The sequence below is a fragment of the Homo sapiens genome, chromosome 17 (assembly GCF_000001405.40).
Source record: "Homo sapiens chromosome 17, GRCh38.p14 Primary Assembly".
NCBI lineage: Eukaryota > Metazoa > Chordata > Mammalia > Primates > Hominidae > Homo > Homo sapiens.
Window position 1 is genome coordinate 53,802,511 of NC_000017.11, and position 27,159 is coordinate 53,829,669.

At 36.6% G+C, this 27,159-nt stretch overlaps 1 protein-coding gene and 1 long non-coding RNA gene across 2 annotated transcripts; one reads left to right on the forward strand and one right to left on the reverse strand.

The window, feature by feature from the left end:
* Positions 1 to 1,872: 1,872 nt before the first annotated feature.
* Positions 1,873 to 20,416, reverse strand: LOC124904030 (uncharacterized). The gene is made up of 2 exons (XR_007065851.1): positions 20,214 to 20,416; positions 1,873 to 2,000 (listed from the first exon to the last, which is right to left on the reverse strand). It is a non-coding gene; the product is annotated as an uncharacterized LOC124904030 (long non-coding RNA).
* KIF2B (kinesin family member 2B) lies at positions 20,417 to 22,683 on the forward strand. Its single transcript, NM_032559.5, has one exon. The coding sequence runs from the start codon at positions 20,524 to 20,526 to the stop codon at positions 22,543 to 22,545; it is 2,022 nt and encodes a 673-aa protein (NP_115948.4). The 5' UTR covers positions 20,417 to 20,523; the 3' UTR covers positions 22,546 to 22,683.
* Positions 22,684 to 27,159: the final 4,476 nt, after the last annotated feature.

Consider the following 27,159-nt stretch of genomic DNA (forward strand, 5'->3'; position numbering starts at 1 on the left):
CAAATCCTAGTACATGCACAAAGCCCTTTATAAGAAAATGTGTTAAATAATTCAATGAGCAGATTATTATTACAGAGAATTAAATAAGTGGATGTGGTATATCTCTAATACCCTTGTGTAAAGCCTGTTTTAATTCTATAATCCCAATTGGATGCAACATACTTAAATGAATACCATTAACTTGTATTTTTTCTATTCTGTTTATAAACATAATAACAGTTGAGAGACATCTATTGAGAAAACATCAACTCTATTTGCACATTCTTAAAGAGAATATTAGAAAAACGAAATTTTAATTTTCGTGTGTGTAATCTGTTAATATAATTAGAATGGAAGACGATTATGTACTTTCAGATCTTTCCATGTTAATTAAAAAGCTAATAACTTGAATGGCTATAAATACTGAATTAGTGGGGCCAATGCTCCTGGCGGTTAATCCTTTATTTGCCATTTACTGAAGATCACTTAATTAGGATACCATCTTTATATCAGGAATACCCTATCAATAGTTGCAAGGGCCCTTAATCTTTGATGGTAGATCTTTGAGCCATTTTCCAATACACTGCACTCCACTCGGGATTTCCTAACAGTCAGCATTCACTGCCTTTGACTCAGTCTATCAAGGAATTTTACTGTGAGCAATTTCTCTGCCTCCCTAACCTTAGTAATAATTTCCAGGTTTTAGAGAAAGGAAAAGCAGCTCCACTAGAAAAATTAAAAAAAGGTTTCTAGCTCTAATGTTTAATAAACTTATTAATATTTTTAACCAGAAATAGTAGGAGTAGACAATGTAAGCATCAAAAGATTAATATCAGCAATTGGTGGATATACATAAAACAGTGTTTGACATTTTTATACTAATGAAAATCCGTGAGTACATAGTAATTCAAACTAAATCACATTAGTCATCTTTGGAGGATGCTAGAGAACCAGTTCATTATTCTTAGAACTAGCAAATAAAGTGAAATAATATTTTTTAAAAAATTACTCTGACTTTCCTTTACAAACTGTCGACGACAAGAATCAAACTCTGTAAAATAATTAAAGAGATTTGTCCTGAGCCAAATATGAGTGACCATGGCCTATGACACAGCCCTCAGGATGTCCTGAGAACATGTGCCCAAAGTGATCCGGGTGCAGCTTGGTTTTATACATTTTATTGAGACATGAGACTTCAATCAAACACATTTAAGAAATGCATTAGTTTGGTCCAGAAAAGCAGGACAACTTGAACTGAGGGTGGGGTGGGGCATCTAGCTTATAGGTAGATGAAAAATTTTCTAGTTGATAATTGGCTGAGTTTATCTAAAGACTGGGATTAATAGAAAGGGATGCCGAGGTTAAGATAAAGGGTTGTGAAGACCCAAGTTCTTATTAGCAGATGAAGCCTTTAGGTAGTAGCCTTAGAGACAATAGGTTGTAAGATGTTTCTTATCAGACTTCATGTCTGTGTTGATGTTAATACTGGAGAGGTATAATGAGGCATGTTCTACTCCCACTTCTCATCATGGCCTGAAACAATCTCTTGGGTTAAATTTTAAAACAGCCCTGGCTGAGGAGGAATTCCATTCAGATGGTTGGGGGACTTCAGAATTTTATTTTTGGTTTACAAAACCACACCCAAGTTTCCTTCTCAGGTACTCTTCTGGGATTAATATATGAGTGAGAAATGATAGACTTAGACTATCACCACATTGCATCCCATAATGAGGTAAAGGATCTAGGCAATAATCATCAATGGTTGCCAAAACTATTAAGTTAAAAGAGGGCAGAGCAATCTGATAACACCCCACTCCATTGATCAATATTAATATTTATATCACTAAGCTTTTACTGCAATGATGTTGGTCAAAAAGTAATTTCAAAACTCAATAGCATGTACACACACACATTTATTTCTTGATTATGAAAAAATTGGATCTGTGGGTCAACTGATGCTAAGCTTGGCTTGGTTCCAAACTGTGGTTTGCTTTCAGGTTGACTTATTCTGTCTTCACAATCTGTATCCCAAGAAAAAAGAAGCAGTTACTATTTGAAACACATGATTGTCATGGCAGAAGGCAAGAATTCTAGAAGCTAAGCCAGACAATGCAAACGCATTTGTAGTCTTGGCACCGATGTGATCTATGTCATCTACATTCACGTTCTATAAGCCACAGCAAGCCAAATTGCTAAGTTCAATACCCATGTAGTTGGGAGCTATACTTCTCTCATGAAGTCTGGGGAAAGGGAAGCATTCAATGGAAAAAGAGATTCTTTGTTAAATAATAATATGATCTACAACATCATGTAAAAAAAGAGACACACGAGTCATGACGTGCCCATGATGTGAACAAGTAAGAAGTGTGCAAGCCAACCTATGAAGTATTCTAAACTATTTTTTGTCAAACTATCAATTTATAGAAAATAAAAGAAGTAGGGGAAGACGTCAAGAAACGTTACAAGGAAGCAACTGGCAACATCTAGAATGCGAAGAATACCACAGAGCAATAAATAATTTTCTTCTACAAATTGTTAAAAAAAATAAATAAATAAAAATTTTAAAAAATGATGAAGGAGTAACATACAGATTGAAAGATATTTACAGAAATCTCAGAGAACTGTAATGTGTAGGCTTTGGCTGGATCATAAGTTGAACAAATCAAATGCAAAATGACATTTTACAAACTATCAGGGAGACTTGAACAATAATTACCTTTCTGATAATGTTAGGAAGTACTAATTGCTAGGTTAATGGTATTATGGTTATGGTTTCCAAATACAATTGCTATCTTATATAAATATATACTGAAATATTTAAGAATGGAAAGAGACGTGCTTCAAAGTATTCTGAGGAGAGTCAGGAGTAGGGAGGAGTATAAATGAAATAAGTTTTGAGTGATGAGCACTGAGTAAATTACTCTATTCTCTCTACTCTTGGATAATTTTTACATAACAAAAAAAGTCCTGAAAGAGAGAGAAAATTTCTTTTCACCAAACGAAGTAAAGTGGATAAGAGGTGGATGTTTCTAAGATCATATTTTATTGTGCTTAAATTCTTTGCTTGAATCTCCCTACTTCTGCCCTGTATAAAGATCAAAACTTTTTCAGCTCAAGGGGATAACAATGCAGTGCCAAAAACGAATGTCTTTCATTGTGCATTTTAAAGACAAAAAAATTGTAAATTATAAAGTTTTTTTTCCTAAGAAATAAACAAGAGAGTCTCAGAACCTCTTCCCTTCTAAAAAAAGCAAGAAAATACCTCAAAAACAGGTATATTTAGACACGTCTAATGAATGCTTCTTGAGAATGAAACCAGTCTATGTAAGCAGGATTATTTATTTAGCTGGGTGAAATGCTTTTTTTGGTAAAGGGAATTTATTTTAATCCATTGAGAACTAGAAATTATTTTGTTTCATATAGAAAAGGAAACAGAGCCACTAATCAATTATATTAACTTTTTTATAAGTGAACGAGAATGTGCTTATTCTATTAGGAAAACACCAATTTTATTTGAGATTATGATCAAATAGCAACATATTTTAGAAGCCACAGAGAGAAAATGAAATTTTAAGAGAACTATCTTTTCAAAAGAAAACAACTTGTGAATAGGGAGCTCATATAATCTTTCCCAGAAGAAAATGGGCAATGGTTACTCCTGTGTGGCATTTCAACCCATAGTGATTTACCTGAAGGAAATTATTAACTCTTCCTGGCGTTTTAGAATAATAACATGATGATGAGACACCTAAAAAGTGCTCAGAGGAAACATTGGTTGCAAGTACCTGCCCAAATTGTTTAATGTTTGTCAAACTTGAATTGCATTTGAAGGGTGCATCACTAGTAATGGATTTCCAGTTCTATTTCCACATGGGCAAAGCTTTGTAGCCATTACAAGATGTAGTTTATTACCTTGCATTATGTATGAGATGATTTTTGTGAGCAGGTACACAAACACAAAAGGGAAAAATACAAGAAAGCAATTTCTTTTATTGCTCAATATATAGCAGTTAGGAATAATTTGGAAATTTTTCAAATAGCTCATTTTGGGAAATTCTTAGATCTACTCAGGACAGACTGTTTTCTACAGTGTTATTAAATAATTTGAGTGTAGATAAGACTGACATTAATTCCTAAGTGAGTTATCTCTTGTTACATAATAGAGGCAAAATGTCACAAAAGGGATACTAGATTTGGAAATAAAAGAGCTTTGAGCAATGTTTCTAACATGATTAACTGCATGTAACCTTGGTCATATAATTTAATTTCTCTATGCTTCATTTTCCTCTTCTCAAAACCAAAAATAATACAGCCTGCCTCACACAATTATATTGAAGATTACATATGCCTAGCTCAATGATTACTAAAAAGCAAATACTCAAAAGTTTTTGATTAATTCAAATTATTAAACAAGAGCTAATACATGTAAATGGGCTTGTAAATTAAAGAAATCTATACAAATATAACACAAAAACATGACAGAATCATTTTGTTTGTTTTATAAAATTTGTTTTCAGATGTCTTTTAATGTTTTACCTGATGTCTTTTAATGTTTTTTTTTTCTTATTAGTGAAAAGACTGAGTGTCAAAAGTGAAACCATTCTGTCTTTAAACCTTGCTATAGAATCAACCAGTTCATGAAATCTTATTAAATAGTGTCTTGAACTTTTGTTGTAAGAAACAAAGAACTATTATTAGTGATGCTATCGAATGGCTTCAAGATAGTGGTGTGTTTTGACATGAAAAATATTGTAGATAAATTGCAAAACGTGAAGAGAACTTCTTAGGTATAAAATACAGCCACCACAAAGTGAGCAACTAGTCTCTTACACAAAATGCCAGAGACTGTGCATTACTTTTTCGGCACAGCATTGAGTGTAGCCCCATTAGCTGTAATTTATGCACAAACGAGTGTAAGCAGAGGCAATGTGTACGTTCTTTGTGATATTGGCACACGGTTGTCACTTTCAATCCAAAACACTCTCAAATCTGGCCAATTTTTCTCCACATTTTGGAAGAATCATTTTCTTTTGGCCAGAGATTCACTGTAAGAATTTTCAAGCCTAGAGAGAAGGTTTTGTTTACAAATTCGGAAGGGAGAAAAATCAAAATCCAGGCAAGAATAGAGGAGCTCCTGCAACCTTGGTTCCGCATGGAGTCACACTTCAAACTTCAGAATGAGAGCTGGCTGCACTCTGAGAAGGTTAATTTTCTTTCAGATGAGTGAAACAGTTCCCCAGTTGGAGAACACACTTCTAGTACTTATGCATGAGTTCTTTAGCAGTGTTTTGCTCAGAGACTTTAGTATACTCTGTGAGAGTATACATAAAAACACATTAGCTACAAGCAAGGAAAGGCTGAAAACCACGAGCATCCATCCAGTGTACATGAAATGGATGGAGCAAAGCATGTTGCCACATCAAATACCATGTCAGGACTATGTAACATAAAGTGAAACAGCCCAAATCTAGGTATAGATTATGTTTCTTGTCTGCAGATTAAAAATGCCAGTTGCCGGGCCAGGCACAGTGGCTCACGCCTGTAATCCCAGCACTTTGGGAGGCCAAGGCGGGTGGATCATGAGGTCAGGAGATGGAGAACATCCTGGGTAACACAGTGAATCCCCGTCTCTACTAAAAATATAAAAAATTAGCCAGGCGTGGTGGCAGGCGCCTGTAGTCCCAGCTACTCGGGAGGCTGAGGCAAGAGAACGGCGTGAACCCAGAGGCGGAGCTTGCAGTGAGCCAAGATCCTCCACTGCACTCCAGCCTGGGGACAAAGCGAGACTCCGTCGCAAAAAAAAAAAAAAAAAAAAAAAAGGCAGACAGTTTTGAACAGTTATGAGGTCCCAGTAAAATATCATTCTGCTCTAATCTTTTTATCTTCTCAGGGTTTACTATATTCTATTTTCTTCTATTTCTTTTCATACCAGAAGCTTCTTTCATAACAACATTTAGGCTACAAACTGGAAACAGTATGGTGTAGTAAAAAAACACATGGGTTTTAAATTCTATGAAGCTCAAATCCCAGCCATATTTTTGTTCAAAAAAAGATTGTAAGCTTAAATTGCAACAGTGAAGAATTATTGTCTCTGAGCCTCAAATTTCTTTAAATATTTGAAAATTAAATGAAGATATTAATGTCTCAAAGGGTTTTAAAATTGTTTTAAGACTTTAATAGATATATTATGAATTAAATAGATACATTATGTGTATACATATGTATGTGTACTATATATGTATATATGGTATATATGCAATTCTATATAAAATATATGTCTATAGGCCAGGCACAGTGGCTCACGCTTGTAATCCCAGCACCTTGGGAGGCTGAGGCAGGTAGATCACCTGAGGTCAGGAGTTCAAGACCACCCTGGCCAACATGGCAAAACCTTGTCTCTACTAAAAATACAAAATTAGCTGGCCGTGGTGGCATGCATCTGTAATCCCAGCTACTCAGGAGGCTGAGGCAGGGAAATCACTTGAACCCGGGAGGTGGAGATGGCAGAGAGCTGAGATCATATCACTGCACCCCAGCCTGGGCAACAGAGCGAGACTCCATCTAAAAAAAATGTGCATATATATCTTTATATATACAAATGTTTATAAAATGTATGTGTATATATGTACATATATATACATATGCATTTCTTTTTTTTTTTTAGAAAAACCTTTTATTATTGAGACTTTTGACTTATGTTCAGGAAATGACTTTTATGTACAATTTTTTTAAAAATTATTATTATACTTTAAGTTTTAGGGTACATGTGCACAATGTGCAGGTTAGTTACATATGTATACATGTGCCATGCTGGTGTGCTGCACCCATTAACTCGTCATTTAGCATTAGGTATATCTCCTAATGCTATCCCTCCCCCCTCCCCCACCCCACAACAGTCCCCAGAGTGTGATGTTCCCCTTCCAGTGTCCATGTGTTCTCATTGTTCAATTCCCATCTATGAGTGAGAACACGCAGTGTTTGTTTTTTTGTCCTTGCGATACTTTGCTGAGAATGATGGTTTCCAATTTCATCCATGTCCCTACAAAGACATGAACTCATCATTTTTTATGGCTGCATAGTATTCCATGGTGTATATGTGCCACATTTTCTTAATCCAGTCTATCATTGTTGGACATTCGGGTTGGTTCCAAGTCTTTGCTATTGTGAATAGTGCCACAATAAACATATGTGTGCATGTGTCTTTATAGCAGCATGATTTATAGTCCTTTGGGTATATACCCAGTAATGGTACGGCTGGGTCAAATGGTATTTCTAGTTCTAGATCCCTGAGGAATCGCCACACTGACTTCCACAATGGTTGAACTAGTTTACAGTCCCACCAACAGTGTAAAAGTGTTCCTATTTCTCCACATCCTCTCCAGCACCTGTTGTTTCCTGACTTTTTGATGATCACCATTCTAACTGGTGTGAGATGGTATCTCATTGTGGTTTTGATTTGCATTTCTCTGATGGCCAGTGATGATGAGCATTTTTTCCATGGGTCTTTTGGCTGCATAAATGTCTTCTTTTGAGAAGTGTCTGTTCATATCCTTTGCCCACTTTTTGATGGGGTTGTTTGTTTTTTTTCTTGTAAATTTGTTTGAGTTCATTGTAGATTCTGGATATTAGCCCTTTGTCAGATGAGTAGGTTGTGAAAATTTTCTCCCATTTTGTAGGTTACCTGTTCACTCTGATGGTAGTTTCTTTTGCTGTGCAGAAGCTCTTTAGTTTAATTAGATCCCATTTGTCAATTTTGGCTTTTGTTGCCATTGCTTTTGGTGTTTTAGACATGAAGTCCTTGCCCATGCCTATGTCCTGAAAGGTAATGCCTAGGTTTTCTTCTAGGGTTTTTATGGTTTTAGGTCTAACGTTTAAGTCTTTAATCCATCTTGAATTAATTTTTGTATAAGGTGTAGGGAAGGGATCCAGTTTCAGCTTTCTACATATGGCTAGCCAGTTTTCCCAGCACCATTTATTAAATAGGGAATCCTTTCCCCATTGCTTGTTTTTCTCAGGTTTGTCAAAGATCAGATAGTTGTAGATATGTGGCGTCATTTCTGAAGGCTCTGTTCTGTTCCATTGATCTATATCTCTGTTTTGGTACCAGTACCATGCTGTTTTGGTTACTGTAGCCTTGTAGTTGAGTTTGAAGTCAGGTAGCGTGATGCCACCAGCTTTGTTCTTTTGGCTTAGGATTGACTTGGCGCTGCGGACTCTTTTTCGGTTCCATATGAACGTTAAAGTAGTTTTTTCCAATTCTGTGAAGAAAGTCATTGGTAGCTTGATGGGGATGGCATTGAATCTATAAATTACCTTGGGCAGTATGGCCATTTTCATGATATTGATTCTTCCTACCCATGAGCCATGGAATGTTCTTCCATTTGTTTGTATCCTCTTTTATTTCCTTGAGCAGTGGTTTGTAGTTCTCTTTGAAGAGGTCCTTCACATCCCTTGTAAGTTGGATTCCTAAGTATTTTATACTCTTTGAATGGGAGTTCACTCATGATTTGGCTCTCTGTTTGTCTGTTATTGGTGTATAAGAATGCTTGTGATTTTTGTACATTGAAAGCTGTCCTCAGCAAATGTAAAAGATCGGAAATTATAACAAACTGTCTCTCAGACCACAGTGCAATCAAACTAGAACTCAGGATTAAGAAACTCACTCAAAACCACTCAACTACATGGAAACTGAACAACCTGCTCCTGAATGACTACTGGGTACATAACGAAATGAAGGCAGAAATAAAGATGTTCTTTGAAACCAACGAGAACAAAGACACAACATACCAGAATCTCTGGGACACATTCAAAGCAGTGTGTAGAGGGAAATTTATAGCACTAAATGCCCACAAGAGAAAGCAGGAAAGATCCAAAATTGACACCCTAACATCACAATTAAAAGAACTAGAAAAGCATGAGCAAACACATTCAAAAGCTAGCAGAAGGCAAGAAATAACTAAAATCAGAGCAGAACTGAAGGAAATAGAGACACAAAAAACCCTTCAAAAAATCAATGAATCCAGGAGCTGGTTTTTTGAAAGGATCAACAAAATTGATAGACCGCTAACAAGACTAATAAAGAAAAAAAGAGAGAAGACTCAAATAGATGCAATAAAAAATGATAAAGGGGATATCACCACTGATCCCACAGAAATACAAACTACCATCAGAGAATACTACAAACTCCTCTATGCAAATAAACTAGAAAATCTAGAAGAAATGGATGAATTGCTCGACACATACACTCTCCCAAGACTAAACCAGGAAGAAGTTGAATCTCTGAATAGACCAATAACAGGAGCTGAAATTGTGGCAATAATCAATAGCTTACCAACCAAAAAGAGTCCAGGACCAGATGGATTCACAGCCGAATTCTACCAGCGGTACAAGGAGGAACTGGTACCATTCCTTCTGAAACTATTCCAATCAATAGAAAAAGAGGGAATCCTCCCTAACTCATTTTATGAGGCCAGCATCATCCTGATACCAAAGCCGGGCAGAGACACAACCAAAAAAGAGAATTGTAGACCAATATCCTTGATGAACATTGATGCAAAAATCCTCAATAAAATACTGGCAAACCGAATCCAGCAGCACATCAAAAAGCTTATCCACCATGATCAAGTGGGCTACATCCCTGGGATGCAAGGCTGGTTCAATATATGCAAATCAATAAATGTAATCCAGCATATAAACAGAACCAAAGACAAAAACCACATGATTATCTCAATAGGTGCAGAAAAGGCCTTTGACAAAATTCAACAACCCTTCATGATAAAAACTCTCAAGAAATTAGGTATTGATGGGACGTATCTCAAAATAATAAGAGCTATCTATGACAAATCCACAGCCAATATCATACTGAATGGGCAAAAACTGGAAGCATTCCCTTTGAAAACTGGCACAAGACAGGGATGCCCTCTCTCACCACTCCTATTCAACATAGTGTTGGAAGTTCTGGCCAGGGCAATTAGGCAGGAGAAGCAAATAAAGGGTATTCAATTAGGAAAAGAGGAAGTCAAATTGTCCCTGTTTGCAGACGACAAGATTGTATATCTAGAAAACCCCACTGTCTCAGCCCAAAATCTCCTTAAGCTGATAAGCAACTTCAGCAAAGTCTCAGGATATATACATATAGATTTCTATGTGTATATATATATTTTGTATATATTTATATATGTGTGTGTGTATGTGTGTGTATATATATATATATATATATATACAGCAAAAAACTGCAATTACTTTTGCAGCAACCTAGTAGATGTCTCTCTCTTTCTCTCTCTCTCTCTCTCTTACTCTTCCTCTCTCTGTGGTTCTGGTTCTTTTCGCCTTTCCAAAGCTACTATAATGTAAATCCTGGTCCTAGTTTCACCACTCAACATTTTACCAAATACAGATGTAAATTAAAATGGTCATCATTCTCCCAGCCTAAGAAAAGTTCTTATCATAGGAATCTTTCAAACTAATCACTAAAGTAACAGATCTGGTCATTGTCCTTTATATGTACACACATTTCCCAACCAGATACCTAGTTTTAAATTTATATCTACATGAATTTTAATATATTTTACATAAACACTTTTTCAGGGAAAAGTGCATGCAACATGCAAAATTATAACATTAATGGTATGTCTAGTGTGGTGCCTGGCATATAATAAGTGCTCAATGACTGTTAAATACATGATAGCTCTTTAGTTCCACTGGCGGGGCAGGGTCTCAAAACCCATCTGTTTTCAGTTAAATCCCAAAAGTCTGACTGGCTATTTGTCTGAAGAATATTCAAAAATCAGGATAAAGCAAAGAAAATTTTTAATCATTACGTCCTCTCAAATCTAAAATTTTGTGATTCTATTATGAGAAATAGCAATCATTATGTGTCCTTCAGAACATACAAACCTACAGGAACATAAATACATACATACATACATACCTGTGTGTAACATCATCTTTCACTGTCCTCACCACAATGCTACCACCCACATTTACATACCAAAAAACAAAACAAAACAAAATAAAACATCTGAGAATAAGAGAGTTAGTAAATTCCCTAAGGCTCATATTTGGGAACTACAATCCTTGTAGGTTTTTTAATTGTATTCTGTGATTTGCTGGAAAAAAATCCTAAACTTACTCTCTATATCTGTGCCCTTATCTCAATTCAAATAACTTTCAGAAAGGCCAATCCATAAAGGTTTTATCTAAGTTCCAGCTTTCTTATTAATAAGATGTGATAAATAATATCTACCCTGTTTAACTTAAATAGGTTGCTAGAGGATCAAAAATTATGTGGTATATATAAGTACTTTGTCAACAACAGAGATATAGTTACACATGTACCGAACTTTTATAGTGTTATCAGCTCACAGATTGAAATTAATACTAAATTCTGTAATCTCCATTAATAAGATCGGTGCATAATTAAAAATTAGTAGGAGTAATGTTAAATTCAGTTTTTCTCTGGGTAATATTTAAAAATTTTTCTCACAAAGATTGATTATACCCCATTAAATTATCAAATAGATAATATAGTACTTACAGTTTTTGCTAAGTGATTATAATGAATAATTTTTATTGGCTTGATAAAAATCTATCCATGTAATTAAGGAGACTGATAATTATAACTCAGGGTAATGCCCGATAAAAGTGAGAATGTTTTCTCTCATCTTACTTGGGATAGTTTTGTTTTATAAAATATTATGTCCAATGGCTGATGAAATAGGAAGCAAGGCCCCGATCAAAGGTCCCAATTACAATACAGATATATTCTAGGACAACTTCCTGCCATTCAACATAATTTCCCACCTTCTAATATTCTCTTTCCCAGAAGATAAATTTTCAATGAAATAAAAATCAGAACTTCCTGGAAATATTTAACAAGTCATTTATTATGATTCTCCAATTGTTTTGACCATTTATCGTGCTAAGGAAAATAAAAGAAAACTACAAAAATAGTTGATTGTATACAGTCACATACATCCATACTCAATCAAATCTGGATAAAAATTCAATTTTGGATACAAAAGTTTTTATTCAGATTAGAGAATTAAATACCTTATAAAGAAGTCCATCACTCTTACATTGGAGAAATAAAAATGGAAAAAGAGACCAAAATCCAGAGTGAGAGCCAAATTATTTCTTTTTAGAAGGGCTTTATCTCATCACACCATAAATTCATCCTCCACATATCCTTTAAACTTGTGAGTGTATATGGTGTGATCTCGGCTCACCGCAACTTCCGCCTCCCAGGTTCAAGCAATTCTCCTGCCTCAGCCTCCTGAGTAGCTGGGATTACAGGTGCCCACCACCACGTCCAGCTAATTTTTATTTTATTTATTATCTATTTATAGTAGACAAGGGGTTTCCCCTTGTTGGTCAGGCTGGTCTTGAACTCGCAACCTCAGGTGATCCGCCCACCTCGGCCTCCCAAAGTGCTGGGATCACAGGCGTGAGCCACTGGGCCCAGCCAAAACCGCATTTTCAAGAATCTTTTACAAAGTTGAAATAATCATATTACCTTTGAAATGGTACTTAATAGTTTGCAAATTAGACTCATCCTTATTTAAAAACCAGAGAAAAAATGGAAGATTTGGTCTCTTTTTTTTCTTTTTGCAGATGAGAAAATGGAATTTCAGAAAACACATGATGCCGCTTCTTCAAGGTAAAGTAAGAATCAATTCCTGAGCTGACAAACCTACGTGTCCTTACTCTGGGTCTGGTGCTCTTTATATTAAAGGTGTGTGGCATGGTGGTCCTCTTCTCTCTTTGCAGAGACAGTCTATTCAGAGAAACAGATTAGAAAATAAAAAAGGCCGGGCACGGTGGCTCATGCCTGTAATCCCAGCACTTTGGGAGACAGAGGTGGGTGGATCATGAGGTCAGGAGTTCAAGACCAACCTGGCCAATATGGTGAAACCCCATCTCTACTAAAAATACAAAAATTAGCTGGGCATGGTGGTGCGGGCATGTAATCCCAGCTACTCCAGAGACTGAGGCAGGAGAATTGCTTGAACCCAGGAGGTGGAGGTTGCAGTGGGCTGAGATGCTGCCGCTGCATTCCAGCCTGGGCGACAGAGTGAGACTGTATCCCCCCCACCCCCCAAAATAAGCAAATAAATGTAGTAATTATAAAGTATGAAAATAATAAGCAACATGTACTACGTGCTTACTCTGTGTAACACACTGTTCTAAGCATTTTCCATCAATTTTGTACACATTCCTTATAGCATCCTTATGAGGTGGATATGACTGGTAGCTTTTATATATTTAAAAAGAAACCATGAAGCTCAGAGAGATTGAATAACTTATTCAAGGTCACAGAACTAGGAAACAGTGGGATCAAGATTCAAACCCAAGAAGTGACGAAAGCACACAGCTATTAAATGAAAGACCAGAATGACAAGGAGCCAGTCCCAAGAAAAGCAGGGTATGTGAAAACCCTGAGTCAGGAAATAGCTGGGTGCATCAAAGAACTGAGAGATGACTGGTGTGACTGAAATATGTTTTTTAAAAAGGGAGAAGAGTGATACTAAATAATAGGGAGGACTGGCAAGAGTGAATTATGCAAGGTCTTGGATGTCATGAAGGTAAGTTGAGTGTTTAAGCAGTGAAATGAGAAGCCATTGGAGATTTTTTAAAGTACATTTAAAAAATAATTTGAATTGCATTTTTCATTCAGTCTGACTGAAAAATCCATGTTTGTTGAGGTTTGACAACCATCTTATTATATATTTATTTATCCATTCACTCGTTTACTTAACAAGCAATTGCTAAATGCTGATTTTAGTATATATCTTTACCCAGAGTTTGCTATTTCAGCAATATCATGTATTCACCAAACCAAATATTTATTCACTAACACTAAATGGTTATATCTGGTGTTTTTTCAATAATTCCTTAATCCTAGCAGCTTGCACAACACTAGGTACGTGTAGTTGAAATAAAAATAGTCAACTTGTTATTTCCGTTAAATCAACCATTTAATGGATTTTCTTTTTCCCAGGATCGACTGGTTATTTTGATATCATGTCCTATTTCTTAGAACTTTAGTCTTCTTGCTTTCTGTTTCCAGGTAAGAATTTAAAAGTTATTGCAAAATGGTAAATATATGTTTCTCAAGACAGGCAGGTATCAGGCTCTGACAATGATAAACAGCACTTATAACATTACCTATAGAGATCACACTGAGACATAAAGTTAAGGGTTTTTATTCTTGGTATAACTTTCATCTTCTACACTTAACAAACAGGCAAGACCAGCCAAAAAGATGAGCAGTCTGAAATATCATATCTGAAGCTATCCAATATTTGGTATAGCAAACATTTATTAAATATCTACTATGTGCAAAATGATATCCTGAAGCACCATAGGAAATATAAATGGTACGCTCTCATGCTTGCACATCTTTAATGACATGAGGTCTTGATTTTACGCAATTTTACTCTATGTTGTTAGACAATAATACCAAATGTTATATTTTGTAGCAAATCTTCTTCAGAAACCTAAAAGTAGCTTTCCCAGTAAAACTGCATTGTGTCTCATTTGTGAAATCAGGAGTATCTTTAAACGTTCAGCTTATGAAAATAAAATAAATTTCAAAGGCCACAGGTGTATCAAAGGATCATCTTTTTATTCACGGAACCACAGGATCATAAAATCTCTGAGTAGAAAGAGACCTAGAGGGCGTCCAGCCCTATGCTTTCAGGCTTCACAGTAACATAAGAATAACCTGGGGTGTGATTTTAGCAAAATGGATTCCCAGGTTCTGGCCCCTGGAGATTAATTCAGTAGGTCTGAGTGGAGCCAGGCAATCTGTACTTTGTAAAAGCTTCCCAGGTGATTTTGATATGTAGCCTGGTTTGAGAATTCAAATCTAGCCCAACTCCTGGGTCTGATATGGAAATGTGTTCTGCACTACCTTTCCCTACAAGCTGTCATTTAGTTTCTGTTTTAATATACATGGGATAGAACCCTGACTCTCAAAAACTGTTGTAGTTATTAGAATGACATCTATATATCTGTATCTATCTGTATGTATGTATGTGCATGTGTGTGTATAAGTGTGTGTGAATATATGTGTGTGTATCTATATCTATCTATATCTATATCTGTCAGTATCTGTTTCCAAAAATGATGCTGTAGGCTCCGTGAAGGTAGAAGTTAGGACTGTTTTCTGTACTACTACATAATCTACCACTTAGTATAGACCTTTATATTTAGGAGATAGTTATTAAGGTTCACTGAATGCACACTAGATTGAAGTTCTTATTAGTTTGATCTGAAGTTGGAAACATCCATCTATTATTAAGCTAGTTTTTATAGTTTTAGGATATTTAATGTCTGCATGACAGATAGAAGGAATACAACTATGAATAAGTTATCCTCTTTGCTTCTCTCAAAGCTTATTTTTTTTTAACCTGGAAAGATGCAGATTCTTTTCACACACATTCGTAAGTGCAATGTCAAAAATATGGAATAAATGTGGGAGTTGAGATAAAGGAAACTAACTAATCTGTGATTGAGGTAGAGGAAAGGGAGCTATGAATATCTGTGAGTACTTTCTAAGAAAAATGATGATGAGTTGAGTCTTGAGGGCCTAGCGCTTGAATTTTTGAATGTCAACACACCTTAAATCAAATACAACAAATTATATTCCTCTTCTATAAGGTAGCCATGTAAGTGTATATAGAAAGATCTGTCTCTCAAACTCTCTAGGACAAATATCCAAATTCCTCCAACCATTTCTCAAATACAAGTATTTTATATCACTTTTCATATTTATTCCAATATCAAATTATATTAAATATTCTGAATCGTATCATCTGAAGAACATTCTTTGAAGATGAGAAATATAGCACATCTTCCAAGTTAAAGAGCTATAGCTTTAGTGTGAATTAGAAGCAAACAACACTAGCTTGAACACTGAACTCCTAGCTTTAGTGTGAATTACAAGCAAACAACACTAACATAAAATGGAAGTGAAACCCAGCCTCTCCACTCAGCATGCTAAATAGAGTTGAAAGCTAAAAGATGGTCAACACAAATGGATTTAAAGTGACAGAGGGACAATTTTTAGCTTTGTTATCTTGGCTAACTTTATAGATGAATATCCACAATTAAAAAATATATAGAAATCTTATAGATATCTCCAGGTAGACAACCCCATTTAATAAGCAGGGGAAAGATGGCTCTGAGTTAATACTGTTGTCATAGAAACAATTCTTGCCTATTAAATCAATGTGAGGTTTGGAGAAGTATGGACTTATCTGGATAGGTTAAGGGTAGAGCATTGGGAAAATGTAGAAATGTTAGGAGACAGAGACACTAGCTGTAATGGTGAAATACCACTCTCATTCTAAAAGTTAATTTCCTCTTTTTAAAAAAGGCATAAACTTAGTAAGATACCTCTCTCCTCTTTAAAAAATAACTTTATAAATGAAAATGATGCATTTCATTTCTTCAAAGAGATTTGGGAAAATCTATTGAACTCCTCTGAATAACTAAATCAACCTCAGTTTGTATCCCCATACTGGAAAAGTACAGCCCCCCAGGGTGATCAGACAGGTCCAACAGCTGCTAGATGTCTGTTAAAACAGTGTTAGAAAGGCACGTATGTGATGCATATCTCCTGGGAGATCTGTATCTAAAATGAGACTAGAAATCACATTCTCTTGTATAAATCAACTTTGACAAGCCCCAAACTGGGAATATATCTGTAATTAATAAATGAAAATTACAAAGCTCATTTCCTGCGCTTACTTCCACCCACCCTACCCACTCTTGTGGGGCTACACCTGACACTTATTAGGCTTTTGAAAAAAGGAGACTTAAAATAAAGAGAATCTATCACTCAACGGTTTGTCAAGGCATGAGCTTTTTTAGTAGGTTCACAGAACAAAATGTGTAAATGGTAAGTTCCTTGAAGGATTTCTTTGACATAAGAAATAGCACAAAGTGAGCATGTACTGCTTGGTTCTATTCAGTTAAAAATATAGGGGTGGCTTTGGTCTCTAATCTGGAGAAACTGCTCATCTACCAAAAGCTATTCAGGGCATGGCCAAGGCTGATATCTTGCATCTAGGGCCTTCTTGTTTTGACAAATGCTGTATTTATCTCATTACTCAAGGTTCACAGTGGTTTTTGGTTTTAAGATGGACTAGTCTGGCAGAATAAATTCCATTAAATGAGAGAGTTAGGCAGATGGTTTCTGAATTGTGAATTTTATATCAGCAAATATAAAAAGGGATTGCTCCAAAGAAGTTCCAGACTATTGGAATTGTAAAAGCACCCAATCAGCTCTCTATAAACAGGTTACTGTTATTTTTCACCAATGAGAATTTTTTTTAATGTACTACTAAAAATTAGGCTTTGGGTTCCCTTGACTAGCCAAATTCGACCAGTAATAGACACCATTTCTTCAGAAGGGGTGTCTTTATCTAATGCTATTTTGCCTGGCTATTGTCAAGAAGGTCAGAGAAACCTGTCCAGGGTAGTGATGTTTGAGGTAGGTATTGAAGAGCTCAGGAAAACCATGAAGACAAGGAAGGATTATTGTCAGAGGGCTGTACTAGTAATTCTCAAAATGTTGTCCCTGCACCCAGCAGCACCAACATTGCCTGGGAACTTGTTAAACATGAGAATTTTCAGCCCCACTTCAGACTTACTGAATCAACAACTCTGGCATGGAGCCTAGTAGCCTGTGTTTTAACAAGCCCTGCAGTTGATTTTCACATATCTTAATATTGAGAACCACCGGACTAGCAATTTGAAATTTGAAAGAAAATGGTGTGTTTGAAGGGCTGCAATTTCTTCCACATGGCTCAATTTTAGATTAAGTATGGATAGTGGGAAATCTTGAGGATGACAAAGCAGGCAAGATGATGATGTGCCTTAAGTCTTCATATGGAATTTATACCATATCATTAGGATGATGAGGAGCTAACAAATGCTTAAAAGCAGTGAATTAATAAGGAAGAACCTGTTAAAATAACTCTAGGAGCAGTGTGAGAAATAGACTAAGTCCCTGACTGGATGAGGTTGCAAAAAAAAAAAAAAAAAGAAAAAAGAAAACAAGCTCATAATTGGTTGGGAGATTAAATGATATCATGGTTATGGAAGACTTCTAGAGACTGGGAAAGGACTACCTAAGTTAGGATGGGCTGAAAGGGGAAGAACACAAAGATCTGTGTCAGGATTTTAAAGATGAGTAAATGTTGAAGTTACTAAAAGCAATTAAAAATAACAAAGACCTGCCATTTTCAGTAAGAAAATAACAGAATCAGTTTTGGATTTGTTAACTTTTTAGTTCCTGCAGGTGACTACAAGTTTAGGACTCATAATTCTGGTTATCAACAATCTATCTAGCCAGCTTTATATAAAATTAAACTGTAGGAACAAATGCAATATACTAGGGAAACTATATAAAAGAGAAAAGAACTGAAAAAAAGTCCTGAAATTGCTATGAAAACCTGTATGAACATGTTGGAGAGAAAGAGGGAGTAAAAGGAAACTTTTCTCTCTGATTTTGGCACTATTATCATGGATCTGCTCATCCATTGTCTGTCTAAAACATTACTAGCTAAGATGAAAACCCTATGGCTAGCCTGGAGGGTCTAGAGTTTTCATAATTTTGAGAGAGACCCAGCTTTTTCAAAGGTAACGGTTAAAAAAACAAAGCAAAACAAACTATTATGTGGGCTCAGTGGCTCAAGCCTATATTTCTATCACTTTGGGAGGGTGAGAAGGGAGACTCCCTTGAGGTCAGGAGTTTGAGACCAGTCTCTGTGCAACACAGCGAGACCTCATCCCTAGCAAAAAAAAAAAAAAGAAAAAAAAAAAAAAGAAAGAAACAAAGAAAGAAAATAGCAAAGCATCCTGACACATGCCTGTAATTCCAGCTACTCAGGAAGCTGAGATGGTAGGATGGCTTTAACCTAGGAGTATGAGGTGGCAGTGAGCTATGATCAGGCCACTGTACTCCAACTTGAATGACAGAGTGCTAATGACAAATACAGTGTATTAAGAATATCTACATCATGGCCTTGAAACCAAGAAAGAACAACTGATTTAAAGCACAACTTTAAGTATTGATAATTTGGGGAAATAAAACATGATATTTTTTAGAAGACAATTGCCTAAAGCCCTTTCTCCTCTCCCTCCACCTGCATACAACCTCCTCTTGAAATGAGCACTGCTTACTTATCTAATTTATCCAGTATCCTCCTTCCACCTTCTTTTCAAAATCTAAGCTTTACTAGACTGACTGAACAGAAAAGTTAGTTTATAGTAGAATTTATTTCTATAGAGGCCCTTATTCCTAGGGAAGGTTGTAACTTGCTACTTCATGTTACTTTGGAGCTATAATTATGATAAAATTCAACAGTCCAAAAGACAACATGCACGGGTGTTGCTAGTGAGCTGAACGTAAGGCATCACCCTTACTCTGAGCTTGGCCTGTCTAAAAGTCAATGTCATTTATTTTATAAGCTAATTCTTATGCATGAAAATATTGCAATCTTGGCAAAATATATTTTTGCATCCGATGGTCTTAGCTGCCTTCCAGCCTTGCTTAACAACTTCTAAAGGACACACACAAGTACTGCAGGGGTGGGGGGAGTATAAGATTAATTATCTCTTTCCACACAATGCCTTTTCTTTCTCTCCCAATTATGGATAATGAGGCCAGAAGTGTAATTACTGAAGGAGTTTGGAAAGGTAATTACTGAACTAATCTCAAAAATGGTGGTGACCACAGCACAACAAAACTCACTTTATAGCTGTCAGAGCCACTTGGAATGTGATACACATGTTGTGTTTGCAAACCCAGGTGCTGTACGAAAGGTAGTTTCATATTAGCAAATTACCACAACGACCTGCTACATTCTACTCATTTTGATTTTGTAATGAGAAAGCCGATTAAACTGTAATAACTTTAAGTTGTGACTCTTAAACAAGTTACACGTTTTGAAGGAGGTGAAAAAACAAAGATGGCGGGTTTGAGGAGCCTTTCTGGGATCCTGTTGAATATCGAGTCCTGAGATTTGCAAATAGCTCTACCTTCATCTATTCCCACTGATCACTGGAGAGTTAAAGTTTAAGGAAACTTCATAGCAATTCTCAAATTAAAGCACTGAGCTTTGAGACTGCCAGCCAAGGCCTCCTTTTATGCTTAGGCATAAATGTACACGGGACATATAAATTAAATTTCAACGCCATGGTTCCCGTTGCTTCTCTGTTACCTGTTCTTTCTCGCCATGATCCGGAGAGCACGCCACATCCTCCTCCAACCCCTTCACCCTCACTGGCAGAGAACAATCTCTCCATCCCTTTGTGCTCCCGTACCATTCACTCCTAAGCCCTAGGTTCTGCCGCCTCATCTCATCCCTTTGTGACGTAGTGGCCCCAGTCCGGGCCCCGGCGCGCTAGGCTCACAAAGGCAGGCACAGACTGCAACCCTGCTCAGTGCTCCGGGCGCTTCAGGCTGGCTTGGGTCCTGCTGCTCCAACCCCAAGGGCCCTGGAGCGCTCCCTGATACCTCCATCACTCACCATGGCCAGCCAGTTCTGCCTCCCTGAATCCCCATGTCTCTCGCCCCTGAAACCCTTGAAGCCACATTTCGGAGACATCCAAGAGGGCATCTACGTGGCGATCCAGCGCAGTGACAAGCGGATCCACCTCGCTGTGGTCACGGAGATCAACAGAGAAAACTATTGGGTCACGGTAGAGTGGGTGGAGAAAGCAGTCAAAAAAGGCAAGAAGATTGACCTGGAGACCATACTCCTGCTGAATCCAGCTCTGGACTCTGCTGAACACCCCATGCCGCCCCCGCCCTTATCCCCCTTGGCTCTGGCGCCCTCTTCGGCCATCAGGGACCAGCGTACCGCCACGAAATGGGTTGCGATGATCCCCCAGAAAAACCAAACAGCCTCAGGGGACAGCCTGGATGTGAGGGTCCCCAGCAAACCTTGTCTGATGAAGCAGAAAAAGTCTCCCTGCCTCTGGGAAATCCAGAAACTGCAGGAGCAGCGGGAAAAGCGCAGGCGGCTGCAGCAGGAGATCCGAGCTAGACGCGCCCTCGATGTCAATACCAGAAACCCCAACTACGAAATCATGCACATGATCGAAGAGTATCGCAGGCACCTGGACAGCAGCAAGATCTCAGTCCTGGAGCCCCCGCAAGAACATCGCATCTGCGTCTGCGTGAGGAAGCGGCCTCTCAACCAGCGAGAGACAACCTTAAAGGACCTGGATATCATCACCGTCCCCTCGGACAATGTGGTTATGGTGCATGAGTCCAAGCAAAAGGTGGACCTCACTCGCTACCTGCAGAACCAGACCTTCTGCTTCGACCATGCCTTCGATGACAAAGCCTCCAACGAGTTGGTGTACCAGTTCACCGCCCAGCCACTGGTGGAGTCCATCTTCCGCAAGGGCATGGCCACCTGCTTTGCCTATGGGCAGACGGGAAGTGGGAAGACGTACACCATGGGTGGAGACTTTTCAGGAACGGCCCAAGATTGTTCTAAGGGCATTTATGCTCTGGTGGCACAGGATGTCTTTCTCCTGCTCAGAAACTCCACATATGAGAAGCTGGACCTCAAAGTCTATGGGACATTTTTTGAGATTTATGGGGGCAAGGTGTATGATTTGTTGAACTGGAAGAAGAAGCTGCAAGTCCTTGAGGATGGCAATCAGCAAATCCAAGTGGTCGGGCTGCAGGAGAAAGAGGTGTGTTGTGTGGAGGAAGTGCTGAACCTGGTGGAAATAGGGAATAGCTGTCGGACTTCCAGGCAAACACCTGTCAACGCTCACTCATCCAGGAGCCATGCAGTGTTCCAGATCATCCTGAAGTCAGGACGGATAATGCATGGCAAGTTTTCCCTCGTTGATTTAGCTGGGAATGAAAGAGGAGCAGATACAACCAAGGCCAGCCGGAAAAGGCAGCTGGAAGGGGCAGAGATTAACAAGAGTCTTCTAGCCCTCAAAGAATGTATTCTGGCTTTGGGTCAGAACAAGCCTCACACCCCATTCAGAGCCAGCAAACTCACACTGGTGCTCCGGGACTCCTTTATAGGCCAGAACTCCTCCACTTGCATGATTGCTACCATCTCTCCGGGGATGACCTCTTGTGAAAACACTCTCAACACTTTAAGATATGCAAACAGAGTAAAAAAATTAAATGTAGATGTAAGGCCCTACCATCGTGGCCACTATCCGATTGGACATGAGGCACCAAGGATGTTAAAAAGTCACATCGGAAATTCAGAAATGTCCCTTCAGAGGGATGAATTTATTAAAATACCTTATGTACAGAGTGAGGAGCAGAAAGAGATTGAAGAGGTTGAAACATTACCCACTCTGTTAGGGAAGGATACCACAATTTCAGGGAAGGGATCTAGCCAATGGCTGGAAAACATCCAGGAGAGAGCTGGTGGAGTACACCATGATATTGATTTTTGCATTGCCCGGTCTTTGTCCATTTTGGAGCAGAAAATTGATGCTCTGACCGAGATCCAAAAGAAACTGAAATTATTACTAGCTGACCTCCACGTGAAGAGCAAGGTAGAGTGAAGCCAATGGCGAGAGATCAGGTCCGAAATGCTGCATTGCTGCAGTTTCCACCACTCTTATACAGGAAAACTGTCCAAATTATCTAAAGATCCTCCTGAGAAGCTTAAAACATCTTAAAATACACTGATGGGAAACATGCTCTTTCTTCTGCCTCTGTATTTCTGTAGTTTGTTTTCATCCTGCTGAACTATAGTTTTCAACAGGGAATGGTTCCTCCCCACCCCCTACCAGGACATTTGGCGATGTCTGGAAACATTTTTGATTGTCACAACTGGGGGTGATGAGGATACTGGCATACAGTAGTTTGAGGACCAGAAATGCTGCTAAGCATTCTAAAGTGTACAGCAGCAGTCCCCAACCTTTTTGACACCACAGACCGGTTTTGTGGAAGGGAGTTGTTCCGTGGGTGGGGTTGGGGATGAAACTGTTCCACTTCAGATCATCAGGCATTAGTCTCCTAAGGAGCATGCAACAACCTATATCCCTCACATGCACAGTTCACAATAGGGTTCATGCTCCTGTAAGAATCTAATGCTCCTGCTGATCTGACAAGAGGGGGAGCTCAGGCGGTAATGCCCGCTCACTGCCAGCTTGCCTTCTGTTGTGTAGTGTGATTCCCAAAAGACCACAGACCTACCGGTCTGCAGCCCAGGGGTTGGGGACCCTGAAGTGTACAGGACAGCTTCTCACAGCAAGTGACTACCCTGTTGCAAACATCAATGGTATCGAGGTAGAGAAACCCTGCTGTAGAAGAAACCAGCTGTGATGAAAGCAGATACACTAAATTTCCAGCTGGGAAAGCAAAACACTGTGAGTTAAAGGAAATAGATTGGAAAGACACCAGGGGTACACAATGGAGTAAATCTAATGATACTGCTCATGAATCTTTCTCTTGCATTGCTGTTTAGATTCAAATGGTTTTTAAGATCTAATCATATTGGGAGGCTGGATTTTCCTTGAAACCATGTATGAGAGCCTAGAATTGAGAGGGACTTTTTAAAAGAAACATTTGAGTTGAAATGGCAAAGTATTGTACTCCCTAGAAGTGATTAAAGTGCATGTGTGTAGGGGTGTGTGTATGTGTGTGTGCACGTTTTGCCTAAGTAGGGCTTTGTTGACTATAGTGTCTTTAATTTTTTTTTCCTCACACACTCTTTACCATATATTGTATTTATATGCTTCACATAAAAAGCCTTCCTGTATCAAGTTGGAGCAGGGTATAAGACAAACAGTAGAAAAACTCCCACCTAAAATGGGACACATCCCATAAATACCTCAAAAGTAGCATCAGAAACATTGATACCTTAGATTGATTAGATAATTGAAACATTTTCCTGATTCAAGGATCACAAAGTCCATTCTTTCTTTTAAAAAAAAGCTAATCTGATACGTAAATACAAATATAATAAATAATACGTGCAGCAAACTAATATAATTAGCAAACATTATATAAAATACTGTAACAAAAAAGGGTCTTTCGGTTTCAAATCTTATAAGTTCCAAATGCTTTTTAAAAAGAAATAAATAGAAATGATTTGCAAAAAAGAAAAGTCCATGGCAGATTAAGGAAATTTAGACAATACATAGTCTCCAAATTTTGCTACTCTCATTATTTTCAAATGTTTTCCTAAAAGTTACAAAGACCTCATTAACATTAGGATAACTGGCACATTACTATAGCGTAGAATAATAATGTCCTAGCAAAAGCTATCAGTGTAAAACAATAAGGATGACCATGAACATCTGGTCTTTCGTAATTAATATTTGTGGTCTTTAGAAAACAAACACACACATACACACTTAGCAGTGCTTTGACTGGATTGCATTAAATCAATTAACTTGATAAAGATTAATATCGTTACAATTGTGAGTCTTCAATCCATGAATATTCCTCTTGGAAGTTTATTTAGTTCTTTATTAATTTCTCTCAGTCTTTTAGCATTGTCCATATTGAGGTGTCACATTCCTTTCATTAAAAGCATGATTAGATAGTCGATTAGATAATGTTTTTAAGGCTAATCTAAATTTTATCACATTTAAATGTAATTATCAAAATATTCCTAATATATACGGGAAAAGTTGGTGTTTGTGTTTGGACCTTTTAATGTAATGATAAATTAACTTACTAATTCTAATAGAATTTAAAATATATTATGTTGGATGTTTTTAGGTATATAATTATGGGATTTGTAAATGATAAAAGTATTGTTTCTCTCCTTCCAATTTTTATACCTTTTATTCAAAAGTATATACTTTTATTATCTTATTCCCATAAGACCTTGTATGTAATGTTGAGTAGAAAAAGTCATAACAAGAATTGTCTGGTTCCCTATCTCAAAGAAAATATTTTAATAGTTTAGCAATTAATATAGTTTAATGGTTCAATTTTTATGCATAGACCAATCTTGTCAGATTCAGAATTTCTTTATATCTAGTTATTGTTAATGAGTGCTAAATTTTACCCTGTCTTTTCTTCCTCTATTTAGATGACCATATGATATTTTCCTTTAGTCTCTAAGTGTAATGAATTACAATACCTTTTCAAATGTTAGATCAATCTTGCTTTTTGAAATAATTTCAACTTATACTTTTTTATACATTGTTGAATTAGAAATAATAATAATTAGTTTAGGATTTTTGTATCTATATTCATGAGAGATGCTATAATTTTCTTTTGATATCTATCTCAGGGATTGGAATTAAGATTTGCCAACTCTATAAAACAAAATGAGAAGCCTATTCTCTTTTTCTATTTTCTGAAATCATTCGGATTTTTTTTTTTTTTTTGAGGTGGAGTCTCACTCTGTCACCAAGGCTGGAGTGCAATGGCAACACCTTGGCTCACTGCAAACTCCACCTCCTGGATTCAAGTAATTCTCCTGTCTCAGCCTCCAGAGTAGCTGGGATTACAGCTGCTTGCCACCACGTCAGGCTAATTTTTGTATTTTTAGTAGAGACAGGTTTTCGCCATGTTGGCCAGGGTGGTCTCAAACTCCTGACCTCTGGTGATCCACCCACCTCAGACTCCCAAAGTGCTGGGGTTACAGGTGGGAGCCACCACACCGGTATAGATACGATTTCTATTAAATTTTTGTTAAATACTTCAAAGCTATCTGGCTCTGGAGTTATCTTTATGACAAAATTTTCTAGATTCAATTCATTTAGTGGAAATAATATTATTCAAGTTTACACTTAATATTTTTCTCATACCAGATTTAATAAATTTTATTAATTTATTCTCATAAAACTATACTATACTCATTATCTATCATGCCCATATTATTTATTTCTTTTTTTAATCCTTCCTGATACTGGTAAATTGTGTCTTCTCTTTTTTATTTTTAATGAGACTTGTTGTATGTTTATGAATTATATTTGTTTTTTCAAGGAAATAACTCTTGGCTATTTTCTCTATTGTGTTTGTTTTTATTTTATTAATTCCATTTTTCCTTCTTTCTATTTAATTTCTACTTTTTTCATTTTATTAATTTCTATGCTTAGATAATAAATTTGTCATCCTTTTATAGTTATTCTTTTTAACTACTGCTTTTAGTCAATCTACATTATATTTTTATTATTCAAAAAATTGAATACTCAAATATTCAAAGTATTCATTGTTTCTAATTTTCACTTACCAATAAGTTATTAAAAGCATTGTTATATGCCTATTTTTAAATTTGTTTAATCACGTTGTTGAAATATTTTATAACACTTATTTACTTTATCTTTTACCATGATATTAAATTCTTAAACTTTAATTGTAGGCTTAACTACTTTTCCTTTTAATTCTGACAGTTTTCAGTTTATATCTTTTGAGGTTATGTTCTAGTTGCATATACATTTGGGGTTTTATATATGCCTGTTGAGTTCACAGTTTTAACATACTAAATTTTTCTCTTTGTTTCTCGTAATTTTTCTTGAATTAAATTCTGCATTTCCTAATATTAGTATAGATAATATTAGCTTTATTTTAGTTTGTATTTGTGTGGTATATACTTTGCTGCCCTTTTATTTTGAATCTTTCTGGTCTTTACAGCTAAGATTAATTCTTTATAAAAATATATAATTGGTTCTAAATAATTTTTTAATCCCATATTATAATTTTTGTCTTTTAATGAACACATTTATGTCATTTAGATTTAATGTAACTACTGATAGATTTAGGTTTATGTCTGTGAGCATTTATTTCCTGTAACTTGAAAATCATATCATGCATTCTTATTATTACCTTATATTTCTTCATAGAAAGTGAAACTACCTTAAATATTTTAGTTCATTGTTTTTTTCCCAGACTTTATGCTTTTTATCTTTTAATTATTTATATGTAGAATTTAAGGCATTATATATATGCTTTTAATACATCATTATTAATATTTAAACGGTGGATATACATTTAAATAACTCATGTTTATTTTTCTGATATTCTTAATTCTGTATACATTGTATTTAATTCTTTATATCTAATACTTTATGCTTAATTCTTTACTGTTTCCATTTAGGATCATTTTTCTTCTTATATGACTCATATATGTGTATGTAAGAGTAAACCTGTTAGTGAAAATTCTGTTAATTTAAATAATCCTTACTTTACCTTCTCTTTTGAAGTATATTTTT